This window comes from Homo sapiens, chromosome 9, assembly GCF_000001405.40.
Source record: "Homo sapiens chromosome 9, GRCh38.p14 Primary Assembly".
Classification (NCBI taxonomy): domain Eukaryota; kingdom Metazoa; phylum Chordata; class Mammalia; order Primates; family Hominidae; genus Homo; species Homo sapiens.
Window position 1 is genome coordinate 39083829 of NC_000009.12, and position 16527 is coordinate 39100355.

Consider the following 16527-nt stretch of genomic DNA (forward strand, 5'->3'; position numbering starts at 1 on the left):
AAGCTATATAGAAAATTCAAAATCTAAAAAGCTTATATTTAAATAGGTTTACTCTGAATTGATCTTGTGATAATCAATCTGAATGGTCTTCATTCACTAAGACTACTCAGAAATGGCAAAATCATATTGAGGTGCTCAGAAACAGCATCTTAATTATGATGGATTTTGGACCATTTTTTTCTAAGGCATTGTTAGGGTGCATAATAATAAATTAGGCTGGATATGAGCATTATTTTATTAGAATTGCTCATATATTAGCCTATGTACCTATTAACATGTGAGTGTAGTGAGGGTGGGTAGGTATAGTGTTTCATTCAGAGGCTTTCTCAGTGCTTAATAAACTGTTCATAGCAGATGCTCACCAAGTTTTTTTTTTTTTTTTTTTTTTGAGACAGAGTCTCGCTCTGTCATCCAGGCTGGAGTGCAGGATCTCTGCTCACTGCAAGCTCCGCCTCCTGGGTTCACGCCATTCTCCTGCCTCAGCCTCCCGAGTAGCTGGGACTACAGGCGCCCGCCACCATGCCCGGCTAATTTTTTTTGTATTTTTAGTAGAGACGGGGTTTCACCGTGTTAGCCAGGATGGTCTGGATCTCCTGACCTCGTGATCCGCCTGCCTCAGCCTCCCAAAGTGCTGGGATTACAGGCGTAAGCCACCACACCCGGCCACTCACCAAATATTTTTAAATGAAGGGATGAATCGAAGATTTACAGGGACTCAAGAGAAATATATTGGTAACTTAGAACAGAGTGTTTTGGGTAACTTTCTTTGTAAAATTAGTGGCTTCTCTATTAGCCAACTTGTTGGTCTATTTTACTATAAGTTAAGGAAAGCACTTCCTATATAATTCCAAATTTAAAGATAAAATTGTAGTTTTGGTATAATTACTAAATGATGTGAGAGTGGCAAAAAATGTATAGCAGAACCAATCCTAAAATACAGTTGTTCAAAGTATAAAGTGTTTTATTAATGTTTGATGATTATCTCTACCTCCAAGGACAGGCAAAATGAATATTTATAATTTTCTAAGATCAATTGCTTCTGAGTATATACTTCATTGCTGAATTTCAATGTAGATTTTTATACCGTAAGTTACATGCCTTTGAATATACCATCCTTGAATGAAAACATTAACACCTTCAATTCCATGTCTCCTTTATTTGGAAGGAAACAAAGATGTATATAATAAATATTATTCAACTTTTTGATCCTAATATTAAAGTATAGTTCATTTTCTTAATTGAGTTACATAAGATGGGTTTTTTTAAAAAAAGATTACTTTCCTCAGTTCCTTTATTAAATGTAAAGCTAACTGTGCTTTTACAACAGATTATGATAGACAATATGATAGACAATTACTGTAACTTTCTACCTTGCGTAACAGATATTTATGAATATGCCTCCCCATTCCTGTTAGATACTAAAGTCAAAAAGGATGGAAACAACAGGCAAAGCAGGGCTTGAGAGAAAAATAAAACTGTATTCATCTGCTGTAATAAGATTACCAGTTTTTTCTCTTGTGTTCAACTCAAACGTAGTTTTATCATTGAATGATGGTCTCCGGAGTTGATGTTGATTAATACATACATAATCTGTGAACTTCGTGTCAGCTTTGACAACATTTCACTTTTCAAGAAGGATTAGAAAAATACCGTGATTCATTATGCATGATTGCCAAGTGAGAGGTTAAGTGTGGAGGTATTTTTCCAGGAACGCCCTTGCACATCTCACAGGTAGCACTTAGTCATGATTATATGTACACTCAGGCAAGAGTACAGTTTGCACCTTGATTGTCACTCACTGTGAAATTATTATTCAAGTAAGACAAGGAGCTTCTTTCAGCATGATGAATGCTTCCAGAGTTTGTGACATGACACTTATTTGGGAAAAAGCTCTTTCTCCTACTTACCTAAAACCTTTCCCAATATGAGAGATTTGACGGCGTTGAATTCTGTCCCTGAGGACAAGATGACTTGTTTCTTTGTGCTCTGGTTAACCTATTAGATGTCCCATGAGAAGCAAACATCAACAGAAAGTACAATTTTAATGATAAGGAAGCAAAGGAAGATGAGGAAAGGAAAGATGAAAATAAATCACTTTTAAGTACCATTACAAAAGCTCAAGAAGCCACCTTCAAATAATTAATCATTTAGAAAGAGAAGCTATTTTATAAGCAATTCCTATGATGCCATCAGCTACCACTCTATCCACGATGTACCCACTTGCTGGCTTTACTCTTCTTCATAATGGAAGGATCTATAATTGGCAGAATCCATGAAAAAGATGGAATTGGTTGTTTTAAACTTAAATATGTACTCATTCTGTGGAGAAAATCTGAAACATAAAACCAAGCATTGTTGTTCTCTATACAGTATATTTTCCTTCCAATGCCGATGACAATGTGTAATTTACTTCCTCTGTGGTGACTCAGGTCTATTTTCTTACTTATTCCCATTTTAATAACTATGTTGTGTGCTTTTAAACCGTGTTTTTAAGTTGCTAAAGTATTTGTTCTTTTATAATCAGAATAAGACAAGTTCCCACTGCAGTATCAATGAATAGATTCCACCAGCAGTCACTATGATAAACTAGAGAACATTCCCCTATTGAGTAAAGTAAAACAAATAGATATTTTGATATTTTAAATAGTAAAATATTAATAATACCTTTGACAGAATTGCATTGCTAAACAAACAAAACAAAGCAATACAGAATAAACAACCACCTCCTCTCTCCCAGATCCTGGCCATATTTGGCTTCTTCTTGACTTATGGAAGAGCAGCACTGAATGGGTTGCTCTTCTATTAATATTATCAAATTTTTTCATTAGATTATTTGTTCTTAAAATAATAATATTAGTTAGTTTGACTTTTGCATTTGTGGGATTACCTCTACCATGACCACAGCTTCTTCTCTGTTAATCTTCACTTGGTGAAGTTGCCCATCAGCCATGTTTTTAAAATCAAAGGTAAATGCATCAGGATTTTGATGTCTATCTAGCTTGTACCTAATCTGCAAACTTCCTAAAAAGAAAAATAAATGGCATTTAAAATTAAAGTGGTATTTTATAAAACTCTTGATACAGATTCTAGAGCACTTTTATTATTATTTACTTACAGCACTTTTGAATCTATTTAGCATCAATTTAGATGCACCCAATAGTTATCTTTCCCGGAACAGTGATTACTTAAGTGCTATTCCTGTGCCAGACTCTGAGTCCAATGATGCTATTTGAAAAGTCAAGACTAAATGTGTTGTTAATAAGCAGTCTCCCCAAACCTTTTCATTTAAAAATGAAAAGGTTTAAATTATGCATATGAGCTTGGAACTCAGATCTAAATTCATTATGACTTTGATATTTATGAAATGATGAAACTCTATGCAATATTGTATCAACATTCAGTTCCTGTAATTATAACTTCTAATAAGGCTCATTTTAATGTATCACTGATATGTGCATAAAGATTTTTTTATAGCCAGATTATTTTAAGTCTTCTGCCATAATCCAAAAATGAGGACAAGAAAAGGTTTTGTCAGGAGACAAGGTTTCCATAGTATCTACATCTTCTAATATACATACCCCTCTCCTACACAGATGTGCCCTCATTATCTGTAATTCTCTTTTAGTTTATACTAAGATCCTGTTAATCGGAGATTTTTTTTTTTGTTTGTTTGTTTGAGGTGGAGTCTCGCTCTGTCACCCAGGCTGGAGTGCAGTGGCGCGATCTGGGCTCACTGCAAGCTCTGCCTCCTGGGTTCACGCCATTCTCCTGCCTCAGCCTCCCGAGTAGCTGGGACTACAGGTGCCCACCACCATGCCCGGCTCATTTTTTGTATTTTTAGTAGAGATGGGGTTTCACTGTGTTAGCCAGGATGGTCTCGATTTCCTGACCTCGTGATCCGCCTGCCTTGGCCTCCCAAAGTGCTGCGATTACAGGCGTGAGCCACCACATCCAGCCTACTCAGAGATTTTGTAGATTTTTTTCTAGGCATGAAATTTTTGTGCTGTGTACCTAACAGACTTAAAGCTTGGTCTTCTTGTTCAACTGTAAAAACCTTGCAATGCCCCAACTACCACTGTTTGAGAGGTTGTCATTACACTTTTCTTCTATAAAAGTGATATAACTAGTTTTTCAGCCACTGATGAGATAAAGAACAGCTGTACTTATCTGTTGCTTATAGGAATTGGCTTTTATATAGTTGTACTATAACATCCACATAAATGCTCCTCTATTTTGCTTAGAATGAGGAGGGAATGTATGTCATGTATCTAGATATCTTATTTCAAAATGAACTGCAAAACCAATTTGAGTCATCATGTACTATTAAAGTCATCCTATCAATAATAAGAAATATAACTGCATATCAACTCCGTAAAATTATCAAACATGTAATGGGAGAAAAGCATCTTAATTTAATCTTGAAATGCTAGCTTTTATACATAACCATTAAGGCAGGCACTGAAAAACCAAACCCATTGGAGGGCATACAGTTTTCTCTCATCGTTTGTAGTTTGACTGCTGAAAAGACCCATGTCATTACAGTCCTATTTTTCTAACTCAGGGTTCTCTTTTTCTTTACACAAAAGATATTCACCATTGTTGGCGAGGATAACTGAAAGGTATTCCTCATAGAAAGAGCTCACATACAGCAATAAGCTCGGAGTTCGTGTGGTTCGGAAGCTCAGTGTGATCATTTCTCTGGTCAATGTTACATCTCTGTGTAATGAAGAAACGAGAGAGCTGGAGTTTTCACTTAAAGTGTAATGTTCTTGAAAATGGTATGTCATTGAGGAGCCAGTTGCAAAATATGCGGAAATCTCTGAAATGATAAATACATTTTTGTTATGTTAACAAAATGTAAGTCCAACGGTCTTGTTTTAAGTACATTTAGAGAATGAGACCAAACCTTAAATATCCTGGGAGATAAAGTAATAGTGAAATCCTTTCCTGTTTTTTTATTTTTCACTTTTTAAAGTTTTTTAAAAACTACAACTTGAAGAAAAAGTAGCAAACTCCAATATACTCATAACCCAAAATTGACTAACACTTAATAGAGATTTTAATTCTCCAAATCATCCTCATCTTATATTTACATATAACTAATTCTTCAGTATAAATGTATAATTTATAGGTGACTTATCTCATCTTTGGTTTCCAATTTTTTCCCAAATTATTAATTTTTAAACATCTTTATTCAGATATAATCCATATGCCATGTAATAGACCCAATTACAGTGTAAAATTCTATGTCTTTTAGTATATTTGCAGGCATGTGCAAACATTGCCATGATCAATTTTAGAGTATTTTCACTCCCCTCCCCCGAGCACCTTCTTATTCCCTCCTACAAAAACCTCCATAACCTCTAGCAGTCATTCTCTGTTTCTCCCCAACACCCCAGCCTAGGCAACTACTAATTTACTTTCTGTCTCTGCAGAGGTTCCTATTCAAGAGATTTCATATCAGTGGAATCATATAACGTGTGGTCTTTTCAATGTGGCCTCTTTCACTTAGCATGGTATTTTCAAGGTTCATCCATCTTGTAGCATGTATCAGTATTTTATGCGTTTTATTGACTAATATTTCATTGGATGTAAATAGTAATGGATGTGCCACATTTTGCGGATCTATTTAACAGTTGATAGACATTTGGGTTGTTTCTACTTTTTGACTATTATAAATAATGCTTCCATGAAAATTCACGTGTAAGTTTTTCTATGGACACGTTTTTATTTTTCTTAGGAATATATACCTAGGAGTAAAATTGTTCAATCTTATGATAACACCAACTTTAAAATTTTGAGGAGCTGCCATATTTTTTCCAAAATAGCTATACCATTTTACATTCCAAACAGCAATTATGAGGGTTTTAATATCTCCACATCCTCACCAACATTTATTATTATCTTTCTTTTAAATTACAGCTATACCTGTCTGTGTGAAGAGGTATTTCATTGTGACTTTGATTGCCTACTGGCTAATGTTGCCAACTATTTTTTCATGATTTTATTGGACATTCACACATATTTGCTGAAGAAATATCTATTTATAAGCTTTACCTATTATTTAATTGGGTTAAATTTCTTTTTCTTATTCAGTTGTTGGTTTTTTGTTTTTATTTTTGTTTTCTTGAGACAGAGTCTCGCTCTGCTGCCCAGGCTGGAGTGCAGTGGCGTGATCTCTGCTCACTGCAAGCTCTGCCTCCTGGGTTCACACCATTCTCCTGCCTCAGCCTCCCAAGTAGCTGGGACTACAGGCGCCCGCCACTACGCGTGGCTAATTTTTTGTATTTTTAGTAGAGATGGGGTTTCACTGTGTTAGCCAGGATGGTCTCGAACTCCTGACCTCGTGATCTGCCCACCTCGGCCTCCCAAAATGCTGGGATTACAGGTGTGAGCCACCACGCACAGCATCTTATTCAGTTGTAAAAGCTCTTTAAATAATTTGAATACTAGACCCTTATAAGAGACATGATTTGCAATACTTTCTTCCATTCTGTGGGTTATCTTCTCTTTTGTTCTCCCATGTTTTAAGAGTTTTATAGTTTTAGTTCTTACATCGAGGTCTATTTGGTACATTTTTATGTATGTGTGAGATAGAGGTCTAATTTCATTCATTTGCATGTGCATGTATACTCAGTAGTCTCAGAGACTACTTCTTCCCATTGGGTTGTCCTGGCACTCTTGTAAAATCCATTGACCATAAATGGCGAGGTATCTATCTGGACTTTCAATTTTATCCCAATGAGCTATCTGTTTAGTCTTAGGCCAGTTATATACTGCTTTACAGTAAGTTTAGAAATTGGGCAGTGTGAATCTATCAAATTTCTTCTTCTTAAAGATTGTTTTGGCTATTCTGCATCATTTAAATTTTCATATGAAATCAGCTTGTCAATTTCAGGAAAGAAGCCAGCTGGGATATTGATTGAAACTGTACTGAATCTGTATATTACTTTAGAGAACACTGGTATTTTATTTATATTAATTATTCAATCCATGACATGAAATATCTCTCCATTTATTTACCTTTAATTTCTTTCAATGCTTTATAGTTTTCAGTGTGTTTTCCATTTCTTTTGTTAAATGTATTGCTATGTATGTTATTCTTTTTGATGCTATTGTAAATAAAATTGTTTTACTGGTTTTATTTTCAGATGGTTCACAGCTAATGTGTAGAAATACAATTGATTTTGTATATTGTTTTTGTATTCTGCAATTTTGCTGAACTTGGTTTTAGTTTTAATAGTTCTAAGTAGATTCTTTGGGATTTTTTTATATAAAAAATCATGTCATCCTCAAATAGAGATAGTTTTATTTCCTTTCTAATTTGGATGTTTTTCTTCTTCTTTTTTTTTTTTTTTCATTTTCTTGCCTAATCAGTCTGGCCTGAACCTCTAGTACAATGCTGAATAGAACTAGTGAGAGTATACATTCTTGTCTCGTTCTTGATCTTAGGAAAAAAACATTCAGTCTTTAAAACTAAATATAATTTTAGCTATGAGTTTTTCAAAAATACCATTTGTTAGACTGAGGAAGTTATCGTCTATAATTAGTTTACTGAATTTAAACAAAAATACATGAAAGGATGTTGGATTTTATCAAATGACTTTTCTGCATCAGTAGAGACTATCATGTGTTTCTGTCCTTTATTCTAAGATATAGTATATTATATTAATTGATTTTCAGCTGTTAAAACAACTTTCCATTTCTGGGATCATTTCCACTTTGTCTTGATGTATAGTCATTTTTATATGTGACTGGATTTGCTTTGGTAATACTCTGTTCAGGGTTTTCACATCTATCTACTTAAATGATATTGGTCTGTAGATTTAAAATATATATACTTGTATATCTATGTCTGGCTTTGGTATTAGGGAAATACTGACCTTACAGAATAAGTTGGAAAATGCTCCTTTCTCTTTTATTTTTTGGAAGAGTTTTGAAGAATACTTCTTATTTAAATAGTTGATATATTTTTAAATAGTTGATATATTCTGATAGTTGATAGCATCAATTGTTTGAAACCATCTGGACCTGGGCTTTACTTTGTGTGGTATTTTAATATTATTAAGACATTCCTTTTATTGTTATAGGCCAATTTATATTTTCTCCTCCTTCTTGAAACAGAAGTAGTAGTTTGTGTTAATTTTGTAGTTAGTGTCATCCTAGGAATTCGTCCATTTTATCTAAGTTACGTAATTTTTTTCAACATACAGTTGTTTATATTCTCTTGCAATCCATGTTATTTCTGTAAGGTTGGTAGTAATATCACTCTTTCATATGTCATTCTAGTAATTTGAATCATCTCTTTTATTCTTGGTCAGTTGTACTAAAGGTTTGCCAATTTTGTTAACAATTTTAAAGGACTGACTTTTGGTTTGGTTAATTTTTTCTGTCACTTTTATATTATCCATTTGAGAAATTTCTCCTGTTTTATTTATTATTTCCTGTTTCTCCTTACATTAGATTTAGTTTGCTCTTCTTTTTTCAGTGTCTTAGGGTGGCAGGTCAGGTTTTTTATTTGGGAACCATTTTTCTTTTTGAATATTGATGTTTACAGCTTTAAAATTCCCTCTAAACCCTGCTTTAGCTGTGTTACTATATGTTTTAGTAATGTTGTATTTTTGCTTTCATTTATCTCAAAACCTTTTCTAATTTCCCTTTTGATTTCGGAGTGTATAGTTTAATTTCCACATATTTGTGATATTCCACAATTTCTTTATGTTATTATTTTCATCTCATTGTGTTTTAAAAAGACCCTTCATATGATTTCAATCCTTTTAAATGTGTTGAGGCTTGATTTACAGGTAGCATGTTGTCTAACCTAGAATATGTTCCATGAACACTTGAGAAGAATATACATTCTGCTATTGTTAAGTGGTGTGTTCTACAGATGTGTGTTAGAATGATTGCGTTTTTATTTTTTTCAACTCTATTTTCTTGGTAATCTTCTGAGTAATTATCCTTTATTGTAAGTGAAGTATTGAATCCTCCAGGTTTTATTCCTAGTTTTTCTATTTCTCTTTTCAGTTCTGTCAGGTATTCTTTATGTAATTTGGGGCTATATTATTAACTGCATATAAGTTTGTAATTGTTATATCTTTTTGAGGGAGTTAACTTTTTATCATTATAAAAGTTTCCCTGTTTCTAGTAGCACCTTTTGTTTTAGAGTTTATTTTTTTCTGGTATTAGTATAGTCCCTTTGGCTCTCTAGGGTTACTCTTTGCATGGTACATGTTTTCCCTTCTTTTATTTTCAACTAAATTACCCCTTTCAATCTAAATTGTATGTCCTTAGACAGCATATAGTTAAGATTTCTTTTGTTATCCATTCTGACAATATTTGTCTTTTGATTGGGTTGCTCAATCGATGAACATTTAATATTATTATTGATACAGTTAGATTTACATCTGCCATTTTCTTTTTCTTTTTCTATGTGTTTCATTTGTTTTCTTTTCACTTTCCTTCTGACTTATTATTTTGTGTTGGTGGATATTTTGGAGTGTAACATTTTAATTTCTTTCTTGATTTCACTATACTTTGGGGTAAAATATATAAATATATAATTTGCCACTTAACCATTTAAAATATGAAATTCAGTAGCATTAAATTCACAATGTTGTGCAATTATCACCTCTTTTGATACCCAAAATTTGTCATCATCCCAAAATTAAACTGTATTCATTAAGCAATAACTCTCCATTGCCCCCTCATCTCAGCTGCTGGTATCCTTGAATCTACTTTGTCTCTACAAATTTGTCTATTGATATCTAGTAAACATGGAGTTATATAATATCTGCCCTCTTGGGTCTGGCTTATTTCACTTAGCATAATGTCTTCTATGTCAATTAATGTTGTATCATGTATCAGAACCTCATTCCTTTTAATGGCTGAACAATATACCATTATATGTATATACTACATTTTTTAATCAATTCATGTGTTGATGGACACTTGTATTATTTCCACTATTGTGATTAGTGCTACTATGAACATTTGTATACAAGTATCTGCTTGAGTTCTTGTTTTCAATTGTTTTGGTTATATATGTAGAAGTGGAATTGCTGGGTTCGAAGGTAATTCTATGTTTAACTACTTTGAGTTAACTCTAAATCAATTTCTACAGTGGCTGTGGCATTTACTTTCCCACCAGTAACAAAAGAGAGTTCCAATTTCTCTAGGTTCTTGCCAAAACTTGTTATTTTCTGTTTTTATTTATTTATTTATTTTTATTGTCAATCTAGTAGGTTTGAAGAGGCAGCTCATTATACTTTTCGTTTGTATTTCTTTAATAACTAATGATGTTGAGTATCATCTTTCCATGTGATTATTGACTCTGTATATCTTTTTGGAGAAATGTCTCATCAAGTCCTTTGTCCAATTAGACTTTTTGTTGTTAAGTTGTGGAAGTTATTAACATATTCTAGATAGTAAACCTCCATCAGATACATAATTTGCAAATATTTTATCACATTCTGTGGATTGTCTTTTTACTCTCTTGATAGTGTTCTTTGATACACAGAAGTTGTTAATTTTGATAAAGTCCAAATAATCTATTTTTATTGTTGTTGTTGCCCGTGCTTTTGGGGTGATTTTTAAAAAACCACTGCCAAATCCAAGATCATGAAGATCTGCCTATATATCTTCTAAAAATTTTATAGTTTTATCTTTTAGATTTAAAACTTTGATTCATTTTGAGTTAATTTTGGTAAGGGTCTAACTTCAATCTTTGCATGTGAACATCCACTTTTCCTACCTTTATGTTGAATAGACTGTTACTTCCCTATTGAATGATCTTGACAAAGACTATGTTAAACATCAATTGACTGTATGTACGTAGGTTTATTTCTGGCCTCTCAGCTCTATTCCATTGATTTATAGGTTTATCCTCATTCAGTGCCACATTGTTTTGAATAATGTAGTTTATAGTAAGTTTTGAAGTCAAGAAGGGTGAATCCTCCAACTTTGTTCTTTTGTAAAATTGTTTTGCTTATTCTGGGCTTTTTCAAATTTTATTTAAATATTGATAGGGGCTTTTTCATTTGTATAAAAAGTGCTTTGGGGATTCTGATAAGAATTAGATTGAATCTGCTGGGGTTGTATTGTCATTTTAATAATCTTAAGTTTTCCAATTCATGAATATGGAATGTCTTTCCATCTATTTAGTTCTTTCTTTAATCTCTTTCAACAACGTTTTATAGTTTTCAATGTCTAAGTCTTTCACTTTCTCGGTTAAGTTTATTTCTAAGTTTTTTATTCTTTTTGATGATATTGCAAATGGAATTGTTTCCTTAATCTCACTTTCAGATTTTTCATTGCTAGTGTAGAGAAATACAACCAAATTTTTGGTGTTAATTTTGTATCCTGCAACTTCGCTGAATTTATTTATTTTCTCTTAACAGCTTTTATTTCCTGAAGAGTTTTCTACATATAAGATAAGGTAATCTGAGAGAGAGATAGCCCTTCTATTGAAATTTGGATGCCTTCTATTTCTTCTTCTTGCTTAATGACTTTAGCTGGAACTTCCAGTACTATGATAAATAGAGGTGGTAAAACTGGGCATACTTGTCGTGTTTCTTATTTTACGGAAGCTTTCACCATTGAGTATGATGTTAATTGCAGGTTTTTCATATATGGCCTTTATCATATTGAGAAAGTTCCCTTCTATTCCTAGTTTATTGAGTGTTTTTGTTTTTCAATCATGAAAGGTTACTGGAGTTTGTTAAATGTTTTTTTTTCAGCAACAATTAAGATAATCATGTTTTTTTTCCCCTCTCATTCTATTAATCTTGTGTAATATGTTGACTGATTTTCATTTGTTGAACCACTCCTGAAATCCTGGGATAAATCCTACTACGTTTTGGTATATAGGTCTTTTAATATATTTCACGACAATGTTTTATTTTCTTTAGTGATTGCTCTAAGCTTGCATTATATATATCTTATCAATAATCTGCTTCAGGTTTACATTAACTTAATACAAGTGAGATTTAGAAAAGTTATTTCTACATAGCTCTATTTCTTCTGTTTTGGAACTATTTTTATGCATACCAAACCCATTATTATTTTATATAATTTGTTCTCTTTTTAAAAAATCTGAGAAAAAAAAAGATCAAGTAAATATTTATAGACTTTGTCTATAAACTCTCTTATTTACCATTTCTAGTTCTCTTTCTTTGTTCCTCTGACTCATGTTACCATTTGGTGTCATTCCTTATTTCAGTACAGCCTTGCTCCCATCTGTCTCCTCTGTGCTGTTTTTTTGTAATATATTTCTATAGGCCCAACAATGAAAATATATACATTATATATTTGTATATTCTCTATTATAGTTTTATACATTGCTTTTTAAAATAGTTAAGCACTGAAAAGGGTAAGAAATATGACATTATACTTTCTTTTATAATTACCTGCACACTTACCTTTATTAGTGCTATTTGTTTTTTGTGTGTAGATTCAGATTATTGTCTGGGTTATATCCCTTCAACCTGAAGGAACGTTCTTTGTTATTTCCTCTAATGCAGGCTAATAGCAGTGAATTCTCTGTTTTTTGTAAGTAGGGATATATTTACTATCTTTTTTAATTTTTAGTTTTTATGAATACCTAATAGTTGTACGTTATTTATGGGGTAGAGGTAATATTTTGATACAACCAAACAATGTGTAATGATCAAATCAGGGTAACTGAGATATCCATCACCTTAAACATTTATCATTTCTTTTTGTTAGGAACATTCCAGTTCCACTCTTCTAGTTATTTTGAAATATACAATAAATTATTGTTAACTATAGTCATCCTGTGCTACTGAACATGAAAGACGGTTTTGCTGGGTGTAAGTTTCTTCATGACAATAGTTTTCTTTCATCTCTTTGAATATGTTATCTCACTGTCCTGTGGCCTCCATTCTTTCAGATTAGAAGGTAGCTGTTGATCCTGGCGTTTCCTTGTATATATGATTTTTCTCTTACTGCTTTTAAAATTTCCTTCTTGACTTTGGCTTTCAAAGTTTTTAATAAGATGTGTCTGGATATAAACTTCTTTGTGTCATCTGTATTTCACTGAGTTTCTGTATCTTAGATTAATGATTTTTATTAATTTGGGGGTGTTTTCAACCATTATTTTTCAAATATTTTTTTCTGATCCTTTCTCTCTCTCCTGGTATTTTCAATTACGTATATATTGGTGTGCTTAGTTATGTCTGATATTTCTCTGATGATCTATTTTTTTCATTATTATTTCTCTGTATTCTTCAGGATACATAATCTCTATTGATCTTGCTTCAAGTTTGCTGACTCTTTTTTCTTTTCTCTGTTAAACTTCCCTGGCTTAACTCATTACTCTCTTGGAGTTATCAAAATTCTCTTAATTGCTTACTGCCAATATCTTCATACCACTATGCTTAAACTTATCCATCCTCTGTTCCAAATAGAAATCAGTTCACTTGGGGAGGGCTACCAAGCTGTGTATTTTCATGGCCTCCCTCTACCTCTTGGTTGAATGTGCCTCACTGCTCTGAAGCTGTGGGGAGTGAGAGTGGCCTGCTCCTTTGTAGTAAAACCTCTGCTTACAAGTAGGGCACAGGGTGGGAAAGGTAACTTCTTGCCTTGCCTCTCCTGGTGGAGAAACTGTTCCTTACAAGTAAGCTGGAGTGAGGGCAATTGGGACACAGGATTTTCCAGCTGCCACACCTGAAGACCTTATGTCCTGGAATGAGGAGTTGGTGTAGGAAGGAAACCCCAGACTTCTCAGCTGTTTCTGCGTGGACAGAGCTTCTGTCCTACAAAACTGGGGATGACAAGAAATGCTGGCACCCAATCTTGGGGTAATGCAGTATCTCTGGAGTAGGACCTGGGTAGAGAGGAAACCTCTGGCTTCTTGGCTATATCCATATAGAGTGGAGCTTCCGTCATACTGAGCTAGGGATGGGGAGGTGCTGGGAGAGGGTCTTGGCTTAAATGCCTCAAACTCTCACTATTATTACTGATTAATAAATGTTTCTTCATTTGATGTATTTCCTTAGGACATCTTCTAAAGACTTTCAATAGTTGTTTTTTAAAATAATAATTTTTACTAGTTATGCTTGTTTCGTATGAGAGAGGGTTTACAGAGCTCCTTATGTGGCCAGCCTGGAAATGCCAGAGTACCAGGTTTTTTATTTGAATGTTACCTCCTCTTTAAAAATCGATTTGCTTTGTAGGAAGCATGAAACAGAGCTCCTGAAGTAACTAGAGAAAAGGTGATTTGAAGACCAACCCTCCTTCAAGGTCAGAATTTAGAAATGTTCTTTTATGCCAAAGATGTTTCTCAAATTTACTGTCTGGATAGAAAGGCTAATCCAAAGTGGTATCTACAGTATTCTGAGAGAGAAAAGTTGAAGGGCTTTCAGATTCTCTTAAAACACTTTATGAAAGGTTGATATTTTAATTTTATATCAAGTTAATTCCAAAAATGTGTTTAGTACACACATACACATACACACACCCCCCAAATATATCTGTAAATAAAAAGACAATGTTGGGTGATGATCATTGTCTTGGAATACTACTCCACTCTTTCCATTTCCATAAAATATAAAGAATTTACTGAAAATCCAGATCATTCTTATTAGATTAGGTAATCTAACTATAACATATGCCCCAGCCACTGGAGGACCATTTTCCATTTACTTACTATATAATGTCTATCCTTAAGAAAATTTTGGGTTATAAAATAACATTCAAATTGCACTTAGCAAATGTGGATTGGGAATGATTTAGAAATCAGCACTTGTGCTCATGAAGGAGTGGTTACTCCTGATGTTGGCTTGAGATATAAAAAGGGCTCTGTATTTGCACCAGAGCTATGAGATTTGTTAGCACAGAGATCTTCAGGAATGATAAAAGACACATGCAAGACCTTTTGAAAATTTAAATGACTTCTAGATAATGAATCCTCAAAATTTTTTTGAAAGTCACACAATTTTATAGTGATTAAAGCCTGTTTTGCTGCTAAAAATAGTAAGTGTAACAGCCCAGAGACACTTAAAAACACAACTACATTTTAGCTCTGATGATTCAATATTGTAAGAGGTTTCATAAAAGTATTATAAATATATTAAATAAGTCAGTACAGAGTACTTAATACTAAAATCAGTCCCTTTTTCCTTTTCTTTTTTTTTTTTTTCCCCAAGACGGAGTCTCACTCTGCCGCCCAGGAGTGAGTGCAGTGGTGCGATCTCTACTCACTGCAACCTCTGCCTCCCGGGTTCAAGCAATTCTCCTGCCTCAGCCTCCCGAGTAGCTGGGATGCCCGGCTAATTTTTGTATTTTTAGTAAAGATGAGGTTTCACCATGTTGGCCAGGCTGGTCTTGAATTCCTGACCTCGTGATCCGCCTGCCTTGGCCTCCCAAAGTGCTGGGATTACAGGCATGAGCCACCACGCCCAGCCCTTTTCTTTTGAAAACATGATTGTACCTGAGCAGAAGCTGTGTGATACCCCACTGCACTCCTCTAAGAAGAGTCAAACATCATAGAGCACAGTGTTTGAGTGATCCTGTTAATGACTGTCAATATTTAAATATTATTTTCCCCTTCTAGTTAGTATGCTTGTTTTATAAGAAAAGACATTTCTATAAAGGCCTTTTGAATCACTTCAAGTCATTGTCACAAGGGACAATGGGTAAGACGATTGCTCAAGCCTAGGAGTTCAAGTCCAGCCTGGGCAACAGAGAGGCTTGAATAGCAATACGTTGTCTCTAAAAATTAAAAACAAAAATAACAATGATGGTTTACTGATGTTAAAATTAGAACAGTACAAGGACAGAGTTTTGAAAACCAAATTATTTCAAGAGGATTAGCATTGAACAGATGCTAGGGGTAACCCAGAGATCTTCTAAATAAGAAACCCAGAGAGGACTGATAGCCTTAAGTTTTCAAAAACAGTCATATCCCTTCTAAATTCAATAGAGGAATTTGGTACAGAAATTATTCCATTTCAAATAATTCAATCTTATCCTCTCTTTATAATATCAAATGCCAGAAGCATTCTTCATGTTATTTAAGTTTCATGTACTTTCCCTATAACCTGCTCCTTGGTCACACTTACCATTGGAGCAGAACGGCCCATCATAGGCTGAGAAGGCACAGTCACAGGTGACCCCCCTGCGTTTCTCTCTGCATCTCCCTCCATTGCGACACAAGTGTCCATAGGTGCTGCAGTGTCCTGCACACCCTGGCTCCACTCCTGGCGTCACTGTGGCTCTTTCTTCCAGATCCAGGGCCACCCCGTTCAACTGCAGAGACCGAATGCATCCTAGAAAGCCTCTCTGTCTGGTGGCCGTTCCACCTACAACGGAAACACTGCAAATAGAAATGTGTTCCTTGGTATTTTATTCAGGATTTTATGTCCATGTCAAACTCAGGCCTTATGGAGAGTGGCAATAATCACAATGTGTCAAAAAATTTTGTGAACATACACAATTTTGAAAATGTAACTGTTATGAGACATGAAGCTTTAAATGACATTGAATAAAACACTTATTTACATAACT

At 34.0% G+C, this 16527-nt stretch overlaps 1 protein-coding gene across 2 annotated transcripts in view; it reads right to left on the reverse strand.

Moving 5' to 3' along the window:
- Positions 1-16527, reverse strand: part of CNTNAP3 (contactin associated protein family member 3) — a 223458-nt gene that overhangs the window by 19119 nt on the left and 187812 nt on the right. The window contains exons 18-21 of one of the 2 annotated variants that reach the window (NM_033655.5): positions 16083-16322; positions 4595-4819; positions 2888-3021; positions 1908-1995 (exon numbers count right to left, since the gene is read on the reverse strand). In NM_033655.5, coding sequence (NP_387504.2) covers positions 1908-1995; positions 2888-3021; positions 4595-4819; positions 16083-16322 — 687 coding nt within the window. The remainder of the gene's footprint in view (positions 1-1907; positions 1996-2887; positions 3022-4594; positions 4820-16082; positions 16323-16527) is intronic. The other variant, NM_001393379.1, reaches the window with a different exon arrangement.